This window comes from Homo sapiens, chromosome 19 (genome assembly GCF_000001405.40).
Source record: "Homo sapiens chromosome 19, GRCh38.p14 Primary Assembly".
NCBI classification, from domain to species: domain Eukaryota; kingdom Metazoa; phylum Chordata; class Mammalia; order Primates; family Hominidae; genus Homo; species Homo sapiens.
This window is the reverse complement of record NC_000019.10, coordinates 31,411,452-31,437,520: the sequence shown is the minus strand read 5'-3', so window position 1 is coordinate 31,437,520 and position 26,069 is coordinate 31,411,452. Positions and strand designations below refer to the sequence as shown.

Below are 26,069 nucleotides of genomic sequence, written 5' to 3'. Positions count from 1 at the left end.
CTGAGGACCACCTGTGTGGGTCTCAGTTCTCCCAGAGCAGACCCTGAGACAAGGACTCAACTGCAAGTTTTTTATTTGGGAGGTGAAAAAACACGGGTAGGTGGGTAGGGGAGGCAAGGAAGAAAAAGAGCCAATAAATGGCATCTTATCAAATGGTTTGCCCTGTGGGCGACTAACGTCTGATCCCAATGGGGAACTGCACTGCAGGAGCCTGCATAGGACACAGCCCTGAGCCCTCTTGCAAGAGGGAAGGTGTACTAGTCCATTCTTATGCTACTAAAAAAGACATACCCGAGACTGGGTGTTTTATAAAGGAAAGAGGTGTAATTGACTCATAGTTTAGCATGGCTGGGGAAGCCTTAGGTAACTTACAAACATGGCAGAAAGGGAAGCAAACATGTCCTTCTTCACATGGCAGCAGAAGACAGAAGAATGAGAATCGAGCAAAGGGGGGAGCCCCTTATAAAACCATCAGGTTGTGTAAGAACTTACTCATTATCATTACTCGTGAGAATATAGTGGGGGAAAACACCCCATGATTCAATTACCTCCCACCAGGTCCCTCCCATGACATGTGGGGATTATGGAAACTATAATTCAAGATGATATTAGGGTGGGAATACAGCCAAAACATATCAGAGGGGCAGCCACGGTGTTTCTCCATTAACTCCTGGCACTTGTGGGTAGAGGATGCCTCCTTGTTGGAGAGCAGGGAAACTGACTGCCATGCTGTTGTCTTGACTCCAGTGCCCTAAGAAATGTTTCAGGCACTGAAGTGCAGGCTCCAGCAGGTGGAAGTGGGGCTGTATGCACAGAAGAGACCAGGGCAGGACAGCATCTGCTTGACTTCCTCACTGGGAGATGAGAGGAATGTGAGTGTGAGGAGCAGAGAAATGAGTGTTTAGGGCTACAAAGTGTGAGTCAGTGAAGTGATTTTCTGGGAGAAAGAAAGAGCTCCCAATGTTATTCCTGGTGCCTGCATCCTCTCCACCTCCACCAGGGACTTCTCGGGAATCAGGGCCACCTGCCTCTCCATCTTCATGTGGAATGACACCTTTCAGGTGTGCCACTCTTTACAGCCTGTTTGGAGATGCCCTCTGAGGGCCCTTCTCCCTGGTCATGCTGCGTTGCTAGGCAACCTCACATCTGTCTGTCCCAAGACTGTTCCCACTGGATGGTTCACCCATGAGTACACTCATTTGCTCATGTCTCCTCCAGGCCTTTTCTGAGATATCAGGACAACTCAGAGAAGTGTTCTGGCTTCAGATGCCATGGGGTTTGCTTCAGCTTCTTAAAAGATAGCTTGCAAACAGCGGAGGCTTTTGGCTAATTCTTAAACTGTGACTAATGCTAATTAACCTCTTTGTATTTTCTGAAAGAAAGTTCGGGGGGGAAGGGGACTAAAATGTTGCACAAATGGCAAAGTGGCTATGACTGCTAGTACCAGACCTCAGTTTTGGTCAGTGTAGGACTTACAATCTTTCCTTGGGGAGTAACAAGTTTCTTGATCATCCTTATAGAGAAGGCCACTGTACAATAATTTCTCATGGGACAGAGTCATGAGCTGGCCTTAAACCATCAAGCAAGCCAAGAGAAACCTAAATTCGTCATAGCAACTTTATTCCTGATAGTCAATATCTGTCTACAATTGCACAGATACACATTTTTATGGTATAGTTATACTGTAGCATTTTCTATGGCAATGAAAATGAATGAACTGCAACTATGTGCAACAACATGGATAAATTTCCCAAACATAATGTTGACTGATAGAAGGCAGACACAAAAGACATACTTTTGAATGTCTTTTGTGTGTCATCACATACTGTATGTGATACTGTACAATCTCCTGCATATCAATTAAAAACAGGTGAAAGCAATCTACAGTGTTACAAGTTGTGGTGATTTTAAAATATTTCTGCAAAATGTTTGACATTCCTCGCTTTGAAAGATGGAGCCTAATTACCTCTCCTTCAAGACAGGCTAGACTTAGCGACTTGCTTCTAAAAAAATAAAATGTGGCGGAGGTGATATCATGTGATTTCTAAGGTGGGCTTCACGTGACTCTCTGGAGGAAACTGGCTGCCATGTTGGAAGGAAACTCAAGCAGCCTTTAGTGAGGCCCCACATGGAAAGAAATAAAAGCCTACAAACAACCATCCTCAAATTACAAGCCTTGTGAGTGAGCCACCTTTGGAACAGATTCACCATCCCCAATCAGGCCTTCAGATTATTACAACCCTGGTTGATATTTTCACTACAACCTTATGAAAGACTCCAAATCAGAACCATCCAGGTAAGCTGCTCCAAAACTCCTGATCCATAGAAACTATGAGAGATAATAAACATATACTGTTGTTTTAAGCAACAGAGAACTAATCCAGATGTCAGAATACTTCCTCTGGGTGAGGGGGATTAGCAACTGCAAGTGGCCTTATGAGACTTCTGAGGGTACTGATAATGTTATTTGGTGATGTGTGTGCTGATTTCATGGATGCATTTGGTTTGTGAAAAGTTATTCAGCTGTGTGATTATGTCTTGTGTACTTTATTTTAAAATAATTTATTTGAAGTAAAGTATAGCAAAGATTTATTTATACATTTCACCAAGAGTTGGTTGCATTTTCAACTATTTTTCCTGAAGAATAGATCACGTTAATGTGGATATTTTCTTTCTTTTTTTTAATTTAATTTAATTTTAAGTTCCAGTATACATCTGCAGGACATGCAGGTTTGTTACATATATACACATGTGCCATGGTGGTTTGCTGCACCTATCAACCCACCACCTAGGTATTAAGCCCTGCATGCATTAGCTATTTATCCTGATGCTCTCCCTCCACCAGCCCCCACCAACAGGTCCCAGTGTATATTGTTCCCCTCCCTGTGTCCATGTGTTCTTTTTGTTCATCTCCCACTTATGAGAACATGCCATGTTTGGTTTTCTGTTCCTGTGTTAGTTTGCTGAGGGTAGTGGCTTCCAGCTCCATTTATGTCCCTGCAAAGGACATGATCTTGTTCCTTTTTATGGCTGCATAGTGTTGCATGATGTATATGTACCACATTTTCTGTATCCAGTCTATCATTAATGTGCATTTGGATTAATTCCATGTATTTGCTATTGTGAATAGTGCTGCAATGAATATACACGTGTGTGTATCTTTATAATAGAGTAATTTATATTCCTTTGGGTATATACCCAGTAATAGGATTGCTGGGCCAAATGGTATTTCTGGTTCTAGGTCTTTGAGGAATTGCCACACTGTCTTCCACAATGGTTGAACTAATTTACATCCCCACCAACAGTGTAAAAGCATTTTTATTTCTCCACAGCCATATGCACATTACACTTTGATAAAAAGTTCAAAAGTGTTTACCAAAAGGAAAAAGGAAAAAAAACATATTTAACCCCAGCACTGATCCCCGTTCAGTACAGTGGACTTACCACTCCAAGGAAGTATTGCCAGGATGCTTAGAGATATACAGAGATCTGATTTTAGGCAGCCTGAGCCTTGGACGAGTCTTAGTTATTTCTTGCATGCAGCCTCCATGAAACTAAGCCAAGGAGGTGTGTGGGAGAGATCCTGTGAACAGGCAATTGCCTTTGCCCTGACTTTCTATCTTAGACTGTTTTATTGCTCTCCCCAAAACTAATAAAGTGAACTCAGGACCTTGGCTTCCCATCATTTCCAGAATGGGAGATTTTGAATCCAGCTAAAAAACACAATGGGATGGGTTCCCATCCTGAAAAACTAAGCCCCTGAACCCAGGCTTGTGGGAACCCCAAGGTGTGGGGTGGCTGGGGATGACCCATCTCAGAGCAGTCAAGCCTTCCTGCTTGCCAACATCACTGTCAGTGAGAATAGTCTGCTGCCTTCATTTCATTTTCTTCTAAATTCCATATTTCTACTAAAGCACTTTATCAATGTTGCAATCACTGTTATCATCACAGTTGACAGGTTGAACTCATTTCTTATCTTTTTTTTCTGTTTTATTCCCTTAAGCCTTTGAATGGCTTGAGTCCAAAGCTAGACCGAGGAGGGCTTATTTCAATTTAATTCCATAGATAGGAGCATCGATACATGCTTCATATCTATTCTAAATTCTTCTGTGAGTGATGCATAGGGCCCAGCAACCTCCTGCATCTTCCTAATGTTCTTTTGCCACTTTCTCTTCCAGGTCTCCTCCCTTCATAAGCCCTTCATCCACTCCAGCCAAAACCACCTACTCATGGTGCTCCATGTTGTCCTGGAATATTCCCACCTGTGTGATTTTTCTGATCCCATTTGATTTTCCAGCTCCTGTAGACCCTTCAAAATCCTATCATTATCCTTCCTGGCAGGAACCTTCCTTTATTCCTTTACTAAAAGTAGGAGTTCTCTTTGCAACCCTGCTCCAGGAAATCGCTACCAGATCCTCTCTTTTGAGGGTTCTTTCTCTCTGTAGGAAAGGGCTGTTTCCTTATCTGATCTCCTTGCCAGAACATCCACTGCAGGGCAGAGGTGAGGGCAAGTTGATCTGAGTTCCTACATAGTCAGTAAAAAATGAGAGGTCCAGGAACCTGCCCACCAGGTGCCTGACTGACATTCTAAGAATTCAGGGGTCTCAGTTTGCATTGCTCCAGAAGCTGACCCTGAACACAGATCTGACTGTGCAGGTTTGTTACACAGGTAAATGTGTGCCATAGTAGTTTGCTGTACCTATCAACCCATGACCTAGGTATCAAGCCCTACATGCATTAGCTATTTATCCTGTGCTCTCCCTCCCCCTGCTCGCCGACAGGCCCCAGTGTGTGTTGTTCCCCTCCCTGTGTCCATGTGTTCTCCTTATTCAGCTCCCTAGGAAATGCTGGCAGGAATGCGACTGTGGCACAGACAGTTCTTCCACCAGCAAATGCATTGTGAAGATGGCCACCACAATGATGCCTGGCACCATGGGAGATGCTAGGACGTTCCCGGTGGGGTGTGAAGGAAGTGCTGTGGTTCTCTGCAACTCATTGCATAGTCATTGGCTGAGGGCTGCTGCTGGGAGTGTTCCTTCCTTCCTTGGCACATCCCACCTGTTGTGTCCAGGCAGAGTAGCCTTCAGTGCTCTGAAAAAAAAAAAAATAGCCCCAAGCCACAGTGATGCAGATACTGACACTGGGTGTTGGAATGGGTCAGCCCATACTGGACTCGTGATATGGGGTGGGGCTTGGTGACCCTGGGCTTATCTTACAGAGTTCTCAAAGATTTATAGGAACCCAGATGAGCGGGACCTCACACACCAGGGCCAGGCATCATCCCCAGCAGACAGACGAGTGGGGCCTGTGCACACCATGGTCTCCAGTCAGAGGAGTTTCTCCCCTGCCCCTCCTCTGTCCTTTTCTGTTAACCTCTCTTTTTCCACAGGAGCCAGCAGGCTGTCCATCAGAAAGATCCATCCGAGGAAAGTGGGAGTGTGCTGATCAGCACCATAGAGCCTGGCTCCTCTCACAGGACTGGCAGACCCCTGGAGGGACAGTCACTGGGTGGCTTGCCGCTCATCTATAATTACAGCTTGGTGGGAGCCTCACATGAGCCAGTCACTTGGGCTTCAGCTGAGTTCCTAAATTTCCACTTGGTACACCCTCACTGTGTGCTACCTTGCGTGTTTGATACCATACAATATTTACTTCTGGTATTCATTCAACTAGAACTCATGCAACCAGTAAGAATACAAAAAGCACTTTGGGAGGCCAAGGCAGGAGGATTGCTTGAGCCTAGGAGTTTGAGACCAGCCTGGGCAATGTAGTGAGACCCCATCTCTACAAAAAAAAAAAAGAGAGAGAGATAATTTAGCTTGGCATGGTGGCATGCACGTGTGGTCCTACTTGGGAGGCTGAATTGGAGGACTGGTTGAGCCCAGGCGTTCAAGGCTACAATAAGTCATGATCACACCACCGCACTCTAGCCTGGGTGACAGAGTGAGACTCTGTGTATCAGGAATAAATAAATAAATACACCCCACAAAACCTCAATACAAACAGTAAAATCATTGAAATCAAGAGCTAAAGTATTATCTGTCCTGCATTCAGGGTTCCTCTTTAAAGTAGGCATTGAAACTTGGTACTGTGTGTTGAAGTGTCTCTCCAAGGGCATTGAAATCAACAGCTGTGTGATATATCTGGAATGTTTGGAGGCAAAGACAATCCCAAGCAATGAGAAATCTCATTGTGTGTATTTGTATTCTATTCTGGAATCATTGTAAATATAATATGCAGATGAAAATGAATGTTACTAGAGTTTTTTTTGATAACTTTTTTATAGGTCAGAAGAGGAACAAAATTATCTTATCTTTGGAAAGTCCCTGATAGAAAAAGTGGTTTCTTTGTTCCCTCCTTCACAATGTGCCACCACCATGGGGGACGAAGCTTGAGACATATTGTCTTGAAAGTGGCCTCAGATGTTAACTGTTCTACCTTTTCCCCAAAGGTGGCCAAACATGATGATGAAAGCCAAGAGGTTGCCTTCAAGGGAAGGGTAGGGGGAAGGACTCGTGAGACCTACTGGTCATTGTGGCTAGTAGCTCACAGAGTGGGGAAATGTGAACTCTGCTTTTCATGATTGTACAGATTCATGATTGTGCAGAGGCTCAGAGCCAAAGGTCCAGCCCAGCACCAAAGGGACATCCAATCTGAAGCCATATGGGCTGATTCAAAACATTCAGTGAAGTTCTGCTAAATCCTTGGGTCATGGCTGGATCCCAACAGCCTTGACTTTCCTTAACAGATATACCCCAAACATGAGAAGCCAAGTCACTGTCTTTCACCCCTCACTGGAAACTTCTTCCTTACGTTGGAGGGTGGTAAAAGGTTTTTTGTTGCTGGGCACAGTGACTCACACCTGTAGTCTCAGCACTTCGGGTGGCTGAAGCGGGAGGACTGCTTGAGGCCAGGAGTTAGAGATCAGCTTGGGCAACACTGGGAGATCCTATCTCTACAAAAACTAAAAAGGAATTATCCAGGCATGGTGGTGTGCATCTGTGGTCCCAGCTACTTGGGAGGCTGAGGCAGAAGAATCTCTTGAGGCCAGGAATTCGAGGCTGCAGTGAGCTATGTTAACACCACTGCACTCAAACCCAAGTGACAGAGCAAGACTTTGTCTCAAAAATAAACCAAAAAAAAGTTACTTGCAAGATGCCCAGACAAGTTGCTGCTGGTCACTCTGGCTCAGGTGCTCAATCCACAGACTCTCCAGATCATGACTATATGACAGTCTTTGAGGTCAAAGGAAGCAGCTCTGGTCAATCCCCACTGTACTAGAGAGTCTTAAAACATTGTTGGGCAAACACACACCATGGCCTGGCCTGCTTGTACTTCTAGGGCACTTGCACTGATTCTTAAGGAGGAATCAGGCAAGATCTTCTGGGAGGGGCTGGTCTTAAAGGAATAAGAGTGTGGCCCCAAATAATCACACCATAAGCTAGATGTTTCAGCCCTACTCTGTGTTGAGGAAGGCCTTATGGCTGGGCCATGAGAGGTGTTCTAAAGTCTAGAAGGAAAGTCAGGGCAGAAAAGAAGCTTAGAAGTTTTTCTTCACTCGCAATAAATGGTGAAGCGCCTCTGTGGTTTTCATTTCAACTTGCGAAATACTGGTGACATGAAGTCTAAGAAAAATAATCACTTCTAGAAGTGAGGTTTCCATGCTCAGGGTCACATTGTCATCCTGAATTGCTCTCAACTTTTTTCTCTTTAGGGAATGGGAAGAGTCTGGACTGCTTCTCCTTCAGTTAGGCTCAGCAAGTATCTACTGGGAAGGGTACCACTTAGAAGGCCCACCCACTGCCAGAATTCAGAGGCCCTATCCATATGAATTTAGCCAATCTGGCCTTTAAGGCATTCTCAGTTTCTCAGTCTAGGAGGTGGAAAGATTAGATGAATGCACAGTGGACTCCAGGAAACAACATGGACTTCCTGAAAGGCTCTTCCCTTCTCATCTATAGGTCTCAGCCCCAAAGCCATCCTCTCCAGAGGTCATCCTCATGAAGTTCTGCTACATCCTTAGGTCATGGCCAAGGCCCAGCAGCCTTGACTTTCCTTATCAGATATACCCAAACATGAGAAGTGAATCACCACTCACTGGACATGTCTTCCTTATCTTGGGAGAGGGGTAAAAGGTTATTTGTTCAGATGGCTTTCTATCACCAATCTTCCTGTCCTGCCACCCTCTTCACTCCCTTTGTGAGCATTTTACAATCTGAAATGCTGCGTGTGCCTCACTGTTTACTCCCTATCACACCTCTGAATGTGAATGTCCTAGGAGCAGTGATCACATCTGCCTGTCTGCCTTTCTCATTACTCTAAGCATGGGTTCTATGATATGTGTCAAATGGATGAATCCAGGTACTTAATACAAATCTGCTAAAGTACTTTGATTGAGCATCCAAATGGTTGGCATCATTGGTAACTCCTGCAAGAGATAAAGGAGAGAAACCTTCTTGATTTCAGGAGTGGCTTTTGCAGGTGGTTAGAGTTTGGATAGGCCAAGAGGAGAAGGTATGGAGTTGACCTGCCAGGCAAGTAGAGGAAAGGAGACATGAATGCACAGAATATTTATGCAGAGGAGACTGTGGAAAAAGCCCTGCCCTGGGGAAGAAGGTGAAAATCCTCTGGGACTGTGCCTTCAACCTGCAGCCCCTCTGAGAGCCAGTTCTCCATTTCACCAAAGATGTCAATGACCTGGCTGACACGTCTCAGAAGATTTATTGACATAAGAGACACCATTCTAAAGACTTGGCCCAGGATCACACATCAAACCTGCAAGTTTGAAAGGATTAGAAACATACTTGGGGCACATATTTCATCTTGACTCTAGACTTAATTAAGATATTGCTAGAGCAATACCATAGACAAGCAAAGAGCTAGCACTTAATCCAGCCCTCCCCCAACCCTGTAAAAAATAAAATAAACGTGGATTGCATGGAGTGAAGTATTCATAATTATTTTATGCAGAAGGGGAAAAAAACGAATGAAGAGGTACCAGAAGCTCATGTCATCAATTTCACAGATTTAGGTCTAATCAGAGCACCTTTTAATGCTAAAACACCAGCCTCTTTATTCTAAGATGTTTGTAGGTATCATCAAATCAACATCAGTTGAAATACTCTTTAATGATGTGATCATTTCAAAATTAGACTAATTTTAATTAGCAACAAAAGCATTTTTGGAACAGAAAACCTGTAGCTTTCTCAGCTGATCCAGGCTTCTGCTAACATTAAGAGTTTTCCTAGGGGGTAAAAAAAAAAAAGGCAGGATTTAACTTCCAATGTATATTAATCTTAATTTTCCCCAGCACCCAAGTTACTCTCCAGTAGTTCTTAAGAAAGCTCTTGACCTTTTAAAAGTCTCTGAGGTGCTGCTGTTGGGAGCCTACTGAAATGTATTACATGTGTTCTTCCCAGACAGCCACAAGACGGAAGGAGAAACTTGCCAAGAGCTTCTCAAGTCTAGAGTTCTTGACCATCCTGTGGATGGAATTCCACCCACTCTTGGCTTTCTCCATTCCATCAGTTTCCTACTTCCCCAGAGAACCAGAACTGGAGACTCAGGAATCAGAGTCAGGTCTTGCTTAATCATGCTTCATTGTGCCACATGATCACATGATTGACCTGTGAGATGCTTTTGTTTTTTTTGTTGTTGTTTTTATTTTTGCTTTTTTGCTTTGTCTTTTTTTTTTTTTTTTAGATGGAGTTTCGCTCTGTGACACAGGCTGGAATGCAGTGGCGCAATCCTGGCTCACTACAATGTCCGCCTCCCAGGTTCAAGTAATTCTCCTGTCTCAGCCTCCTGAGTAGCTGGGATTACAGGGCACGCCCGGCTAATTTTTTGTATTTTAGTAGAGATGGGGTTTCCCAGGTTGGTCTCGAAATCCTGAGATCGGGCAGTCCACCCACCTCAGCCTCCCAAAGTGCTGGGATTACAGGCCTGAGCCACCGTGCTCCACTGACTTACATGACGTTTTTAGGGCAAAACTTGCATTAGCTGCCTTTATTTAAACATTGGGAAATTTCACCCAAGAGCTAGCTTTCTTCCTCCTTTGATAAGCTGATAGATCTGAGTTGTAACACTTGGTCTCCTCTCCAGCACACCTTTCCAACACAGCCTTGATTCTGCTCAGTTATTTTCCTAGCCTTGGAAACATCCACAGCCTTCTAAGCCAATCGGCATGGTTTTCTTCTGGGATCTGTTATTGGTCCAAATGTGGCAAGCGACGTGGGTGCATTCAATCAGAATGAAGGAAACAACTTATAATGTCCCGTAATTGGAGAAACAGTTATTCTTGTTCACCTGGAAAGAGAATGAGAGCATGCCGTCCTGGCTGCAATGGACCACCAGCCAGCAATCACATGCACAGTCAGCCAGAGGATGGAGCCAAAGCTGACCTCAAAAAAAGAAAGACCCAGATTTCCAGGGGAATTATTGAGCTCTACTAGAATATGCATCAAGTCCGGTATCTCTGAAGATCCAGTTATGTGAGAGAAAAACATTTCTGTATGTGTGAACTCACTTGGAGTCAGCACATGTACTCTTGGCTGCTAGAACAAACCTAATCATAAGCTGGGAAAATGACCCACATCCCTCCCTGTCATACTTACCAACTATGGCACCCATAGGTGGAGTTTCATCCCCTGACACCTGGGCTGAGTTCTTTGATGTTCATCTTTATGCTTGCAATGTTGCATTTACACATTCTAAGAAAGGCATCCTTGGGCAATTTCATCACTGTGCAAATATCATAAGGGAAACGTACACACATATAGATGACAGAGGCTGCTATGCACTTAGGCTGAGCTTGATAGCCTACGGCTCTTAGGCTACAAACCTGTACAGTATGTTACTGTACTAAATACTATAGGCATTTGTAACATCATGGTAAGGATTTGTGTATTCAAACATACCTAAACATAGAACACACACAGTGAAAATATAATATGAAACATAAAAATGATACATTTGTATAGAGTCCTTACTATAAATGGAGTTTGCAGACTGGAATTTGCTCTGGGTGAGTCATTGAGTGAGTGGTGAGTGAATGTGATGGCCTAGGACATTACTGTACACTACTGTAGATTTAATAAGCAACGTAGGCTGAGCATGGTGGCTCATGCCTGTAATCCCAGCACTTTGGGAGGCCAAGGCAAGTGGAACACTTGAGGTCAGGATTTTGAGACCATCCTGGCCAACATGGCGAAACCCTCTCACTACTAAAAATACAAAAAAATTAGCCAGGTGTGGTGGCTTGTGCCTGTAGTCCCAGCTACTCAGGAGGCTGAGGCAGGAGAATTCCCTGAACCCGGGAGACAGAGGTTGAAGTGAGCTGAGATTCCTCTGGCCTGGGCAGCAGAGCAAGACTATGTCTAAAAAAAGACAAGCCATGTTCACTTGGGCGATGCCATATTTATAAAAAAAATCAATTAATTTTGCTACAACATCACAATGGCTATATCACTAGGTGACAGGAATTTTTCAGCTTCATTAGAATCTTATGGGACCATCATTGTTTATGAGTCCATCATTGACAAAAATGTCATTATTCAGTGCATGATTGTATTTTAATTGGTGGCCATTGGCCTGGTAGTAATTCAACAGACTTCTATAAGACACGCCCCATAGTGTCCTGTATATGACATTGTTGCTGTGATCAAGTGTCTAGCCTCAGGGTCCTTGCAATCTTTCAGGGAGATGTGCTACCCTAGCTGGTCCACAGGGATGCACCTAGGACAACCATCATATCCTGGTGGCTGAACAACAATGGTGTAGGGTCACCCTGATTCAGCCAGAGCCAGAGCCATCCTGCAACAACTCCGCCACCCCAAGGGGAGGCTTCATGTCCACCTCTAATACAATTCCCTCTTTTGGAAAGATGTAATCTCTGAGACTCCGTGGAAGCATATTTAAGCCATTACAAGCAAATCAAAACATGATAAATCATGAATTTTCCTCCTACTCCCAGTGGCCTCCTATAGATGCAAACTTTGACAAAGAATAAGCAAGAAGTAAAATATTCGAGGCAGACAGATGGTAGCCTGAAGTTACAGCTTCTCCTCATAACTTAAAACCCATTGAAATCTGAGCCTTAGGATTTTCCTTTTTGCAGAAGTTTAGCTAAAAGCAGGCGGGGGAGAGAATGTCTTCCCAGGCTCACGTACAGTTTTTGAGTTCCCGTTGTCCATTTTGACCTCAATTTCTTGCTGGCTTTCAAAGACCTCACAGCAACCCACAAGAAGAGCCAGCCAGATGAACTTTGCTGAAGATTGTCCTCCTCACAATATTCTCTTGAGGAAGACAGCCTCCTGCCCGTTTCACAAAAGCAGAATTACACCCTGTTGAAAACACTGGAAACAAGAGCAAATATGGCAGCAATTGGATAGCAAAGAGCGACTAGAGAAAACAAGATAAAGTACAAAAGTTCTTGGTTGCTCTCAGCAAGGCAGCTGGGTTAAACAATTAGTACTAATTGCCTTATGTCAAGCCGGCAGTTGCAGTAAACAAACACAATTCACAAAGAAACCAGCCTGAGCTTCTTCTGATTAAATAGTGTTGCATTTTTAAATGTGTTACCGATACATGCTGTGCCCTTAAGAAAATGACTACACTGTCACAGGCATAGCAAAGACACTTAGAAATAAATTCGGCTGCAAGATAAGGAAAGTACATGATAAATTAAGCTCTGCGTATAAATTCTTAAGAGCCTCCATTTTAATGCTGGTCATTATTCAACAAATTTTTCTAAGAAAATGCCAAATAGGCAGGAACGAGTAATTAGGAGAGAAAAGTGAAACTGTCATGGTTAATGGGTTGCGGCGCTGTTCTCTACGTTATCCTTCATGAAACTGGGCCTGAAGAGGTGAAATGGGTGGGGAGCCCTGGTGGGGCTGGGGTGCCAAGCACAGGTGCTCCCGGGAGCCGGTGGTTTCTCTGCCTGGCAGACATAGGCAGAGGAGCCAGGAGAGGGGTGGGGAAGAAGGGGTCACAGAAAGAGGGGTGCCAGGAAAACAGAGATCAGGCTGGGATTGAAGAGCCACTCAGGCTCGGGGGAGCAGAGAAGGCTGGAGTGCCACACTCCTCGCAGTGCCCAGGCTGCCATAAATCTGAAATCACTGGGGATATTGTTAGCGTTCAGCAAGTATTATTAAAATGAAGGGAAATTTATGGATGACACTTTGTAACAATTAATCAGGAACTGTTGATTAATAAAGTTAGTTCGTTATTCTCCTGAAACCTAGGCGGCTATGAGAATTGTCAGACGGATCATTTTATTCATTATTTTTGATTAATGCACCCAGATTCTCTGACTCTGAAGAAAAAAAAAAAAAAACTTCTCCACTATGCAAAATCATAAATACTGAATGAGTCTGTATACAGTTAACCTTGGCCACAGCTAGGAAATTTCAAGGAAGAAATGTGCATATTCAGCAAATAAATTGCTGCAAGGATTAAAAAACAAATGGAGGGGTTTGATGAACATCACCTCTCCAGACCTGTCCATCTTGTATGAATTCCTGTGATTAATTAGTTTGTTTAGATACTCAATTAGCCTACTGAAGCAGACACACACACACACACACACACACACACAAGCCATAGTCATGGACCAAGATAAGGGCAGAACCAAGAAATGCCCAAGCGTTGTTCTAACTTGGAAAGAGTGCTCTGTGGCCTTTTCTCCCTCCCACAGTTCTTTTTTTTTTTTTTCTGAGACGGAGTCTTGCTCTGTTGCCCAGGCTGGAGTGTAGTGGCACCATCTCAGCTCACTGCAAGCTCCGCCTCCCAGGTTCACACCATTTTCCTGCTTCAGCCTCCCGAGTATCTGGGACTACAGGCGCCCACCACCACACCCGACTAATTTTTTTGTCTTTGTAGTAGAGATGGGGTTTTATTGTATTAGCCAGGATGGTCTCCATCTCCTGACCTTGTGATCAGCCCGCCTCAGTGTCTCAAAGTGCTGGGATTACAGACATGAGCCACGAACCGGGCCTCTCCTTCCCACGGTTGTTTGCCTTCGCAGCTCCTCTCCTTCATTCTTCAGGAAGTTGTGAGTTAGGCTAATTTTTCATGACTGGCCAATCATTGCCCTGCCTGGGTCCATACATCAGCCACCAGCCAGGGCTTCCTGGAAGCCTGGAGATGCTTTTCTTTCTGCAAAGATATGAACTCAGAACTTCAAACGGCTACTCCATCTGCCTCCCCAGAAGTCCTGGCCCAGGGTGGAGAAAAGTCCTCCAGAAACCACCACCACCATCCTCCAGGTACTGGGGGAAATGGGAAGAAATTTATCCATGGAATAAGACAAGTTTGCAAAGAGACTGCCCAATTCCAAGCCCCAAGGCTGACCCTGGCTTCCCTCTAAAGGAAGCCCTGGCTTTCCAATTATCTGTTTACATTGCTGTGATATCATCAAAAACTCGAATTCCTTTTATAGTCATAAAGGATGCTGAGAGTCTATGTGGTACAGATTATTATTCAGTTTTCTAGAGTGTACCCTAATAAGAAGTGGCAGAGGGAGTAAGTGATATGTTAAAATATATTATTGCTAAATGGATTAGATTGTGTGTTTGTGTTCATTTAGAAAATAATAGGTACAACCTTAATAAAAGCATTTATATATTTTTGTACCGAAGATACAAAACCCCAAAGCAAACTCATTAACTAGTAATTTTACCCTTATTAAAATACATTTATTTGTATGCTTACATGATTTGATAGCTTTAAAAAAAAAGAATATTACTTTTCTTGCAAATATTTCTGTAAGATGCTTACCCCTGTTCTGTTTGTTGAAAAAGTTCTCCACTTTTCTGGAGGTTATAATTAGAGATAATTTGGCCTCCTTCATAATATTTTGATTCTGAGAATGATTCGTTTGGAAAGACTCTCAAACCTCATAGCATCCTGACAAGATTTTGCAAAAGGTACAAATATCATGTGTAGGGCATGATATAAAAAAATGCACCCTTTGGGGATGACAGTGGAGGATGAGAAGAAAACAAGTTTCAGAACAAAAGCCAGGAAAATGGATTCTGAGAAGTCTGAAATTACATACAGCCAGGGAAGAATGGGATCAAAGGAAGGAGGCTGCTGGAGGGCTGGTAAAAGAAGAGACCGGCCACTCCCCAAATCGCCCCCTTTCTTTGCCTTTCAGGTGCCCACCTGCTTGGGATTCTCCAGGCGAGAAGGACAAGTTTGGGGAGCAGCATTCATAACGTGAGATGGAATTCTAATCATCATCGCCAGAATTGCAGACAAAGGGCTAATTACTGGGACTCATAAATAGACACTTAAAATGTTGAACATGAAACTTGTTCATTATACACGGATTCTGCTTTTGGCGAGCGCTGGAACAGAATCACCAAGGGGGCTGAAATTGGCAGGGCCGGGGTCTGCCACGGGGGCTGGCAGGCACCTCAGGGCTGAAGCCAAGGCTCGCGTGGAATGGGCCTTCCCCAGCCTCACCGCAGGACGGACTCAAAGGCAGCCATCCAGCCCAGCCGCCGTCCCCTCTCTTGCAGACGTCGCTTCCCACCGAGAGAAATCCGGGCAAGGTGACTGCACATGTCACACGGAGTTCTGAACGGGTTTTTGCCAGAACCCTGAACGCAACCCATGTATGGAAATTGCCGACAAAAGAAATTAAGAGCAGGAACGCTGTGATTAGGCTAATGCATTGATCAAATCAAACCCTCTCTGTTTCACTGCCAGGATGCCCCGTATAAAAGCGTCATTAAAGAAACTCTGCCGTCCCTCCTGCTAATGGTCTACGATTTGAGCATGCCCCGATGATTGACAAGTGATGCCAGGGCTGCCTGTGTTGTCTTAAAAAAGCCACATCAGATCAGCAGAAGCTTAAAGCAAAGCATAAATTATAGATAAGCGTCTGTTTCTTTGATGATGTAAGACTCATAGGTGCATCTCTCTTCCATCACAAACAAAAAATTGCACTTTCAGGAGGCCTTTTCACAATGTCACATCATATTTGAAAAAACAACAGGAAAAACATAAACATTTTCCCTCCGTTTCCTTCCTTCCTTTTTTTCTCTTATTCTTAAAACAAAATATCTTAAACAAACAGCCGGCTTCAAAGGCAGCCTGGAAGTTTTCCTCTTTGGAGAAATTAATTAAACATAAAATAAGTGTTTAAATACAAAGTTCAGTGCAGCAAGGATTATTGCATCGTGTGGCTGCATCTATCTGTCAACCTTGCTAACTGTTCTGCTGCCTGTCAGAGGCAGGGTTACTGAATTGGAAGGTTCTCAGCATCTTGCTCGTTCAAAAACAAAGACGTTTGGAAAGTATTAACGGAGGCATTCTTTGCTTCGTAAATTTTATTGTCAGCTGGAGATACAATTTCCTTATTCCAAAGTTCTAAAAGTCTTCAGTGGAAATATTTAGGGGGCACTGTGGGAAAAGGGAGAAGAAAAAAAATTAAAGCATGTGGCTACAATACAGGAATGAGTGGTAAATTCACAGCAGGAGAAAACTCTCCTCTCTACCTTGCCCTGTTCTAGGGCCACTCCACAGGCTTTTCTAGTCCAGGTTTTGATCATGGAGGCCACATTCACTCAAGTTGCAAAACAATATTTTTCTCATCCATTGATTCCAATAAAAGACTCTGGACTCCCTTGGGAGGTTCACCCATGCTTCTGGAAAGTGCCACCTCATGCACCTAGAGGACCTACACCAAGGACCCACACCCATGCTTCGAAGAGTCCCTTAGTGACATTTCCAAGGGAAGACAACATGTGCAAGGTTACTAATTCAGAGTTCCTCTTAGATTAAAGCAGAAACTTGGTTCCTGGCAGAGCCAAATTGATTCTGCAGAATTAGCTTATAGGCTGTACTTGGAAAATACTCATCCTGTATCACTTTTCTTAGAGATAAGACATTTCCCTTTCCCCCAAGGTGCCAGGATCTCTAAGTTGACACAGTTCTGCACAAATCACTCTGGTGGTGTAACTTAGAGTGTCCCAATCCCCTTTGGACCCTGGCCTCTGTAACTGGGCCATCACTCACTTAGTTTCACCTTATCTTGAAATAAATGTAACCAGAAGGGACTTGTTCAGCTCGCCACCTCTTGAGTGATGTGAATTATTTATACGGTCTTCATACGCATTCGTTAAGCCGCACACAGCCAAGTGGAGAGGAGCTGTTTGTCTCTTGTTCAGCCAGAAGGGTAAGACCGCAAGGTCGGGGTGAGTAGCAAGAACATCTGGAAGATTTTCCCTGGCTTGGTCTTGAAGAATAGGGATTACCTGGGGCTGTCGTCTGTGTCAGGCTCCTGCAAAGAAGAACTTCACAGAGAGCAACTGAAGCTCCTGGTCTGCCAGGAAGGGGCGGAAGACCCAGGCCCCAGCCCATAACCGTCTCCTCCACAGCAATGAGCTTTGCAACACAGGCTCTGAAATGCAGGCCTCACTGGGCCGCTAAAAAAACATACAGCTAACAAAAGGAGGTGCAGGAAAGGCTGTGGCTCCCTGGGGTTTTCTGCAAAGAAAATCAGTCTGGGATGATCCCTAAGACACAGGCATGTTCTGGTTAATTGGACACTCTGGTTAATAAAGACTTACCACATGGTACTGAGAAAAGAGGGAGATTGGGAGTTAAAAGTGCTGGGTTTGAGCCTCTCTGGGCTGCATTTCTCATATGAACATAACGTTGTCCACCTCACACAATTGGCACGAACAAGAAATGAAATAATCGATGCAAAAGTGCTTTCTGAGCTCTGAGATGCTACATAATTGTCAGCGACACGTTCACATCCTTGAGTGACAAATTTCAAACAATAAAACTTAGGGACTATCTTCTTTTCCCAAGCTCTTGCTGGAGCATGTTCATTTTCCCATGGAAATTTAGAAGGTACTACCCCAGCCCCTGAGTCTCTCATGGAGAGCAGTCTTTAGGGTCATGTAAACTTCCAGCATATTTGAAATCTATTTGGGATTTTGGTTTAACAAGATCTTCCCCTGTTTGGCAAGGGACCCTGAAATATTCAACCTGGAAGAGAAGCTGTAATAATTGTCTAGTTCAGGTGATTCAAACTGTATCCCCCAGTGGAATCTCTTTTGGGATCATGGAGTGGGCTGGGGGAAGCCCAGGAGTCTGGGGCTCTTACCTTAACTCACCTGTTAACATGAGAAAGACCTTCTGACCAAAGATTGCAAAGTAAAACAACCTAGAGAAGCTTCAAGGAATTCTGCATTACCTGGAAGGAAACTAAGGGAACTAAGAGAAAAAGAACTTGCAAATTGATCATCAGTGAATTAGAATACAGGCCTCTGTGCTTCCCCTCCAGGGCTCAGCCCCGTGCTGTGAGCTTTCTCTTGCAGATTTTCTATCTCCCCTGTCAGATGGCCCGGGGAGAACAGGCACCTGCTCTGCGGATGAGAAGCGTGGCCTGGAGACATTGCCCAAGAAGGGATGTTTGTTTCCTGGGGATGGAATAAGATGAGTTCTCCCAGATCTTATACCTGCCGTGAGATGCTTATGGATCAATGAATATTTGGAATATTGCCATCTTCATTTGAGAGGGCATCTGGGACCTTTGAGTCTGTCCCATACAGAATTTCCCTTTGCTATGTCAGAATCCTTGCTACCCTGAGCTCACCTGCCCCACCCCCACCTGGTATTCCATGACGTTCTCTCAAAGGCAACAGAAAGACCACAGGATATTCTAGGCAATCCATTGGTATGATCAAATATTTTGGAGATCTATTGGCATTTGCTTCCTGGCCACTGCGGGGTAATATTCTCTACGGAAAACATTGACTGTCTCCAAGAGCCAAGCCCATGGTCTAATGAATAAGGTTGGCCAGCAGGAACTGAGAATTACGAAAGGAGCCATCACCCTTGCTGGGACTGTAGCCTTCCAAGACCTGCTCTTTCTATTTTTTGAAAGCCCGAGGTCCAACTTTCTATGCAACAACTCTGGCATTTCAAATGCAATCTGTGTAAAATGCCTTAGGAACTCCATGCAGTTAAAAAGAAACTCGCCAGAGACTCACATCCTACCCACAAACCACTGGTTTGCTACTTATTTTGATTTTACAGTTTAAAGTCACAGCACTCTTAGTAGCTTATGTTTTATTCTCACTTCCAGATAAGGGAACCAGCTTGTCCCAGTCTGTCCAGAACTTTCCCAGTTTTAGCATTGCAAGTCTTGTGTCCTGGGAAACCCCCAGTCTCCGGCAAACCAAGGCAGCTGGTCACCCTACTGCCTTAGGAAGTTCAGCATGCCCTGGTGGTTGCTCCTGAAACGTGACGATGACTCACCTGTTCAGGTATGAGATCTCCTGCAGAATCAGACCGAATCTGCATTTAAACCCTCTCTTTCTGATACTTACCACCTGTCTGAGACCTTGCAGGTGCTCCTCAACCTGTCGGAGGATCAATTGCCTCATCTGCAAAATAAGAATATGAATGCATCTACCTCCCAGGTTGTTGAGATTATACGAGACAGTAAACCTGAAGTGCCAGCCCAAAATATAGATATTATTCCTAGGTGAGTGTTAATGGTAGAAGAATGTTGGTCCCGACGCTTGCCAACTTTTCCTCTGCGGATCTGAAATCTCAGACAGTCCAGGCTGTGCCTGCCATCTCCTCTTTGGCCCTTTTGCTCTGCCCTTTGAGGCTTGGAGGCTGGACTGTCTGTGATATTGTGTTAAGGGAGGAGGACTCACCTGCCCGTGGGCCCCTCTGAAGGGCTTTGCTCAACAGAAGGAATGTGGCTCCACGCACCTGCTTTGCAGTTGGAGATACTGCAACCTGTTCTCTTCAGGCACTAGAACAAACCTAGGAGCTGATCCAAGAGAAAGAAGTTCTGCTCATACCATCTTCTCTGCTCCCCCAAAACTTTGAGGAGACGGAGCCTGGTCAGCAGGTTCAGCTAACAGCAGGTGTTGCGTCTCCTTCTGTCAAAGTAAATTGAAGTTACAGGAAATTTCTCCCATGGCTTTCAATAGATTTGCCATAAATACTCCACCTTAGAAGACTGTGTTACAAACCCGGGGCAAAGCCAAGCCAGGAACTTTCATGGATTTAACAAGAAAAGAAAGAGTAGTGTTTTTCTTTGTGTGTGTTTCCCGGCAAACGCCAAGTCTGCCAAATCTTGGCTTCAAGTTGACCAAAAGTTGTTCTTAAAAATGTTCTGTGATCCGTTTCTGAGCCCCCTAAAGTTACTAATTAAAAAAGGAAAAATGTCACACAGACCTACTAAATTTCTAAGGTATTATTTGGAGTTGTTGAACCCATATCATAGGGCTTTCAAACTCAGTGTTGAATAAATTTCAAATTTCCCAGGAGACAGAAATGGCTCCAAAGAGATTTTCCCCAGGGCCCCGAGATCTGTAAATCGAGATAATTCTACGCATTGCTGCCTGAGTATGGAAATTACCAGCAAAAGAAATTAAGAGCAGGAACCCCGTGATTAGACTAATGCATTGATCAAGTCGTTCTTCTCGGTCTCACTGCCAGCACAGCACATAAATAACATGTGGGCAATTACCATGAGTAAATTATATGTGTTTTATAACCTTCCGTGAACATTTTTCCCTTAAAAAACAACAACAACAATAACAAAACAAAGCAAAACAAAAAATATTCCTCAGGGGAATTGAGTATCAGAGAAAAGAGTAAAATATATTTTTAAATTTTTCTATGCATGGGAGAACAGAACTGGGTGAGGTGGGACCCTCTTGGTAGCAGAGGCTGGGCTGGAGTTTGGTTTCCTACATGGATCTCAGGTGAATCTCCCTCCAATGCTGCCCTCTCCTGCCTGGAACTCTCCCTTCGCATCACAATTGTCTTGTTGTCTACCATCTCTGTCTTTCTCTCCCTTTCCATCTTCTTCCTCTGTGTCTTGGTCGCACTTTATCTGACCCTTTTCTGAGGACTGGGAGGATCTGAGAAGGGAATAAGACCTTTCCAGTCTTGGTTCTAGTCAATAGTCAATGGATCAATGTGGGGTGGGGAGTGAGGTCACTACTTGCAGTTTTCAGGCCCTAATCCCCGCTCAAACACTGCTATTGCAGGAAGGAACTTCCTGATAGACTGGTGATGCAGACAGCCCCGGGCAAGGACTCACAAACTGAGCGACCCTGCCCTCTGGTTGGCCAACATGGCCCCTGCCCCCATGTACCAATCCATATCAGATTCCCAAAAAGGCCACTTTGCTGGGCTCTCACTCTGCACTGGCTGCATGGGTCACCAGCAGTCTGGATGCCCTTCTTCCTCAAGGTGGCTGGTCCAGGCTGCAGCCTGCTGCCCCTGCCTGCACCACAGCCTCATGCACACGTGCGCTTCATCTGTCCCCAGTTCTTCCGCAACAGCCATGTGTGTCTCTGCTCTGAAAGCTCGCTGCCTAGCAGTGGGAGACAGACAAGCACACCGTGCCACACAACAGCAAGTGCATGGGGTGCCTGTGAACTAAGGGAGCCTTTAATCTGACCTCTTAGAATCTGGGGAGGTTATTTGGGGGCGGTGGTATTCGAGCTGAGTTTTGAAGGTTGAGTATGAGTATTCTAGTATCTCCTCCAAAAACAAAACAAAACCAAGAGAAACAGAGAATGGAGGAAAGGGACACTTAAGGCAGAAAGTGCATCAAATCTGCTCTTCCTGTGACTTTACCAACCCACGGGACCTGCCTGCACTCTGCGCTTCCCAAATCCCTGACTGCGGCTCCCCTCACTGGTTGGGTTCCTTGCAGTATTGGGTAAGGCTGGCAGGCCACTGCCTAATAATAGGGAGAAGCAGAGCTGTCCCAACAAAACCAAGGTGGGCTTAGTGCCAAAATAAACCAACGTTTCTTACTCCACACACAAAGTTTTCCACCTTTGTCTCCAAACTTTAAACTTCCAAAATATTTGACCCATTTTGGCAAAGTGTAGTCACTATTAAATATTCAGAGGCTACTCCATCGATGGGATATGTGGCTCAGCCACATAGCTCTACTCTAGAGCTTTTCCCTTGATCCCTGGCAACTCCCTTGAGAGTGTGGGCTTCAGACCTAGTTATATCAGGTTTCACACACTGGCTTGGCCACTCCCTGTGTATAGGATTGTGGCAAGTTAGTTACACCTACTGAGCTTTTATTTCCTCCTCTATGAAAAGGTATGACATGCAGTGCTATTTGCAATGGCCAAGACATCAAACCAATCTAGTGCCCACCAACAGGTGAATGAATAAAGAAAATGTGACACCCCACCCCAAACAAACACACAGAGAGAGAGAGAGAGAATGGAATATTACTCAGCCATAAAACAGGAGGAAATTCTGCCATTTGCAAAAACACGGATGAACCTGGAAGACATTACAAAATGTCTAATTGAATTGTCCAACTGAAATAAGCCAGACAAAGACAAATACTACCTGATCTCACTTACATGTAGACGCTAAAAAAGTTGAATTCATAGAAGCAGAGAGTAGAATTTTTATTGCTAGGGTTGAGGAGGGCAGGAAGGGGAAAGAGATGTTGATCAATGATAAGAGGAATAAATTCTGGGTATCGAATATGCACCATGTTCACTGCAGCTAAGAATAATGCATTGTATACTTGAAATTTACTAAGAGAGTAGATCCTAAATACTTTCACCACACACACAAAAAGGTAACTATGCAAGGTGAAGGATGTGTTAACTAAGTGAGTTGTGGTGATTGTCTCATGATATATTCATATATCATATCCTCATGTTATGCACCTTGAATATATATAATTGTATTTGTCAATTACACCTCAATAAGGCTGGAAAAATAAAGATAAAGTGAATAAAATAAAAAGGTGTGACTCTAGCCAATGTATCTGTCACTGTTATAATCAAGTTCAATCACGTCAGTCAAGCACCAGCCCCATTCCTTGCCCTTAGCGGACAAGGACTCATCCAGGCATTGGATCCCCTTAACTCTTCTTTAACCCTCATGCAAATTATCTATTTACCCGATTTGCTCTGAGACTAGAATAGTGAAGTAAGCTTGTGGGCAATGGTCAGGGAGCTCCCAGGTCTTCATGCTGAGCTCACTGAGCTCCACCTGCCTTGCAGTGCACCATCTCCTCTTTCTTCTCTGTAGACACAGGAGCTGGCCACAGGCGATGCACACAGTATACATTTTATGGTATTTATTCCTTTTGGAGCATCTTTTGAAGTCCTTAGTCTCAGGAGAAGGAATTTTCCTTTGCAACTTGGATTTTGTGTTTGCTCCAGGTTACAGGAGGCCAAAGGAAGACACTCTTCCTTCCATCTTTAGCATCTCCACGTGTATCTGTTTGCTAGCCCGGTGCCTCTCCCCTTCCCTTAGCTGGACCTTTTCTGCCTTCCTGGGTAGGCTTCTGAGCTAAATCTTCCCATCTCTCTCTGTGCATTCTGGCTGGCTGCACCAAAATATAAAAATCTTGATTTAAGTATTTTTGTATTCAAGGACCATACGCAAGTGTTCATTTGAAGGTTCAGTGGCATTTTGAAATGAGAACATCATATATAAAGATGTCAGAGATGGCGCCTCCCACAGTGAGGTTGAAAGAGAGAGAGGAAAAAATGAATTGAAGAGTTCCTGGGATCCAAGAAATTTTAACATCTCATTATTTAGATTACCCTACATATAATTTTCCAATATTTGGTATTACAGACTTCTGAAGGTATTGGTTAAAATTACTCCATGCCTGACATCAATTTAGTCTTATTCATTATCTAGCTAAAATAAAACCTTACAAATAGATGATTAGAGTAAGTAAGCAATTTTCTGATAAATGCAAATTCTCTACCATTTCCAAAGGAGCGTTCACAGCAGACTGGAATAGAAGGGCCAGGGGGTAATGGCCCCTTGGCATTCCAGCATCCTGGCATGGACCAATGTGGATTTGAGAAGGCCCGTAACGCCTGCAGGATCTGATTGTGTTTGGAATGCACCCAGTTTTTCCCAGCAGTCTGCTGCCTCCCTGACAGGGCAGATGATCCAGACTCCACTCACCCTAATGATGGGGATTGTGGTGTGTTCGTCTTACATACTCACTGCTTGATTGTTACTCCCAGCCCCTTGTGAGCTAGCGAAGCATAGGATCAATGTGTCCCTGTCATCACAGAATGAGCACAAACAGATGCGTCTCGGCATCCGATCTGAGTACTCACACAGGGGCTTCCTCCCCAGCCACAAAAGATGTCCAACCTCCTATCCACTTTCTTGGAACTCCTGAGACCACAGCTTGACTAGGTCTCAAACTCAACACCAATGGCCTGTGTCTCCAAATCACAGCTACCCCAACTCACAAATCCATACCTGGCACCTGCCTACAGAGCAGGTTACAGAAAACATCTGCGGGGGGCAATCCCTTTGGGGGTGGTGTGGTTGAACAGGAGGAATCTGTCACTCCCATCCAGACTTCGTGGGTGGTGTCAGACTTGCTCTAACCACGGTGGACCTACATGGAGAGCAGTAGGTGGGTGGACATATGCTGTTGTCACTTGGACAAGTTGGAGAGGCCTTTCCCTAAACACAAATAATTTCAGCTCCTGGAGTCTTCAAAGTGTCTGAATTTCTATCCTGAGTTACTCTTTGGGTTGAGGCCTTTTTTTGAAAAGCCCCTTATGCCATGTTCACAAGTGTCATCCAGCTCATCACTCCTGTCTATGCCCTGCAAGTTTGGACTCCCACAGGACCTGGACTCTTACCCCACTGTCGGATTTCTCCCCCTACCATGAACAGGAGAGTGTCCTGTTACCGTTCTGACCAAGGGTGTTGTGCTCAGGGCTTCCACCTAGGGTTGATATTCAGCCAAAATGCACCAGTGCAGCCAGATCTATGGTTAAAATATTGAAAATATTGTCATCTTGGTTGGCAAAATGCCCCTTCCCCATGTCCCCAGAGGGTTGGTTGTTCAACACTCAGGCCAGCCCAGCTCTATTATTGAATCTCCTACAGCCCACCAATGAAAGGGTCAATATTCCAGGAACTGGCTCCCATTCCACTTGTGTAATACAGACTGTCAAACATTTTGGATAATTTGTGTCAATGGGAGTGCATTCATCATCTTATTCTGTTTCCCGCTGTCTTTGCTGAGCACTGTGCCTTCACATCCGTGCCTGTTGTCATGGGTTCACATAGTCTGTGACTTCTGATGGCTGGATGATCCCCCCAAGGTTGGCATCTGCCAGATGACAGTCCTCCATCCCTGCCCCAGAGATGGGCATCCAGGCTGCTTCAATTCTGTACCACCATAGGCAAGGCTGCTGTGAATACCCTAGCTCAGGGCCCTATGTGGAGCAGTGTGAGAATTTCTTGGGAATGTGTACTAAGGAACAAAATTGCCTGCTCCGGGGATGCAGATTCTCATGTTGACTCCCCTCTGCCAGATTGTTCTCCAGATACCTACATCAGTCTATACTCCCACTGACTCCGTGTGGGAGCTCCTAGAACCCCAACAACCTATTAAAGCTTAGCACTGTCAAAGACATTGGAATAAGAGTAATTCCATCTTGAATAAAAGCTGGGCAAAATGAGGCTGAGACCTACTGGGCTGCATTCCCAGATGGTTAAGGCATTCTAAGTCACAGAATGAGACAGGAGGTCAGCACAAAATACAGGTTATAAAGACCTTGCTGATAAAACAGGTTGCAGTAAAGAAGCTGGCTAAAACCCACCGAAACCAAAATGGCAAGGAGAGTGACCTCTGGTTGTCCTCACTGCTACACTCCCACCAGCGCCATGACAGTTTACAAATGCCATGGCAATGCAGGAAGTTACCCTCTATGGTCTAAAAAGGGGAGGCATGAACAATCCATCCCTTATTTAGTGTAATGTCAATAAATAACTATAAAAATGGGCAACCAGCTACCCTTGGGGCTGTTCTGTCTATGGAGTAGCCATTGTTTTATTCCTCTACTTTCTGAATAAACTTGCTTTCACTTTGCTCTATGGACTCACCCTGAATTCTTTCTTGTGTGAGATCCAAGAACCCCCTCTTGGTGTCTGGATCTGGACCCCTTTCTTGTAACAGCACCATCCACATGCCTCATATTTTGCCAATCTAATGATACAGATAGGGTACCTCCACATTTTTTTTTTGAGGAGTTTTG

General features: G+C 44.5%; 1 long non-coding RNA gene across 3 annotated transcripts in view, besides 4 other annotated features; it reads right to left on the bottom strand.

The window, feature by feature from the left end:
- Nucleotides 1–14,674: 14,674 nt before the first annotated feature.
- The window catches only part of TSHZ3-AS1 (TSHZ3 antisense RNA 1), a 101,016-nt gene continuing 89,621 nt past the window's right edge, over nucleotides 14,675–26,069 (bottom strand). For 2 of the 3 annotated variants that reach the window (XR_002958388.2, XR_001753896.2), the window contains exon 3: nucleotides 14,675–19,919. This is a non-coding gene — a long non-coding RNA (TSHZ3 antisense RNA 1). The remainder of the gene's footprint in view (nucleotides 19,920–26,069) is intronic. The other variant, XR_001753900.2, reaches the window with a different exon arrangement.
- Nucleotides 17,204–17,498: a silencer, noted in NCBI's record as "tiled region #8466; K562 Repressive non-DNase unmatched - State 24:Quies". NCBI's record gives its function as "represses a minimal TATA promoter and a strong SV40 promoter by Sharpr-MPRA in K562 cells {active_cell/tissue: K562}" and the evidence as "EXISTENCE:reporter gene assay evidence [ECO:0000049][PMID:27701403]".
- Nucleotides 17,204–18,349: a biological region, named in NCBI's record as "Sharpr-MPRA regulatory region 8466".
- Nucleotides 17,403–18,349: an enhancer, noted in NCBI's record as "OCT4-NANOG-H3K27ac-H3K4me1 hESC enhancer chr19:31910078-31911024 (GRCh37/hg19 assembly coordinates)". NCBI's record gives its function as "activates a minimal SCP1, AML or CMV promoter by ChIP-STARR-seq in primed H9 embryonic stem cells {active_cell/tissue: H9 hESC(primed)}" and the evidence as "EXISTENCE:reporter gene assay evidence [ECO:0000049][PMID:30033119]".
- Nucleotides 18,350–19,296: an enhancer, noted in NCBI's record as "OCT4-NANOG-H3K27ac hESC enhancer chr19:31909131-31910077 (GRCh37/hg19 assembly coordinates)". NCBI's record gives its function as "activates a minimal SCP1, AML or CMV promoter by ChIP-STARR-seq in primed H9 embryonic stem cells {active_cell/tissue: H9 hESC(primed)}" and the evidence as "EXISTENCE:reporter gene assay evidence [ECO:0000049][PMID:30033119]".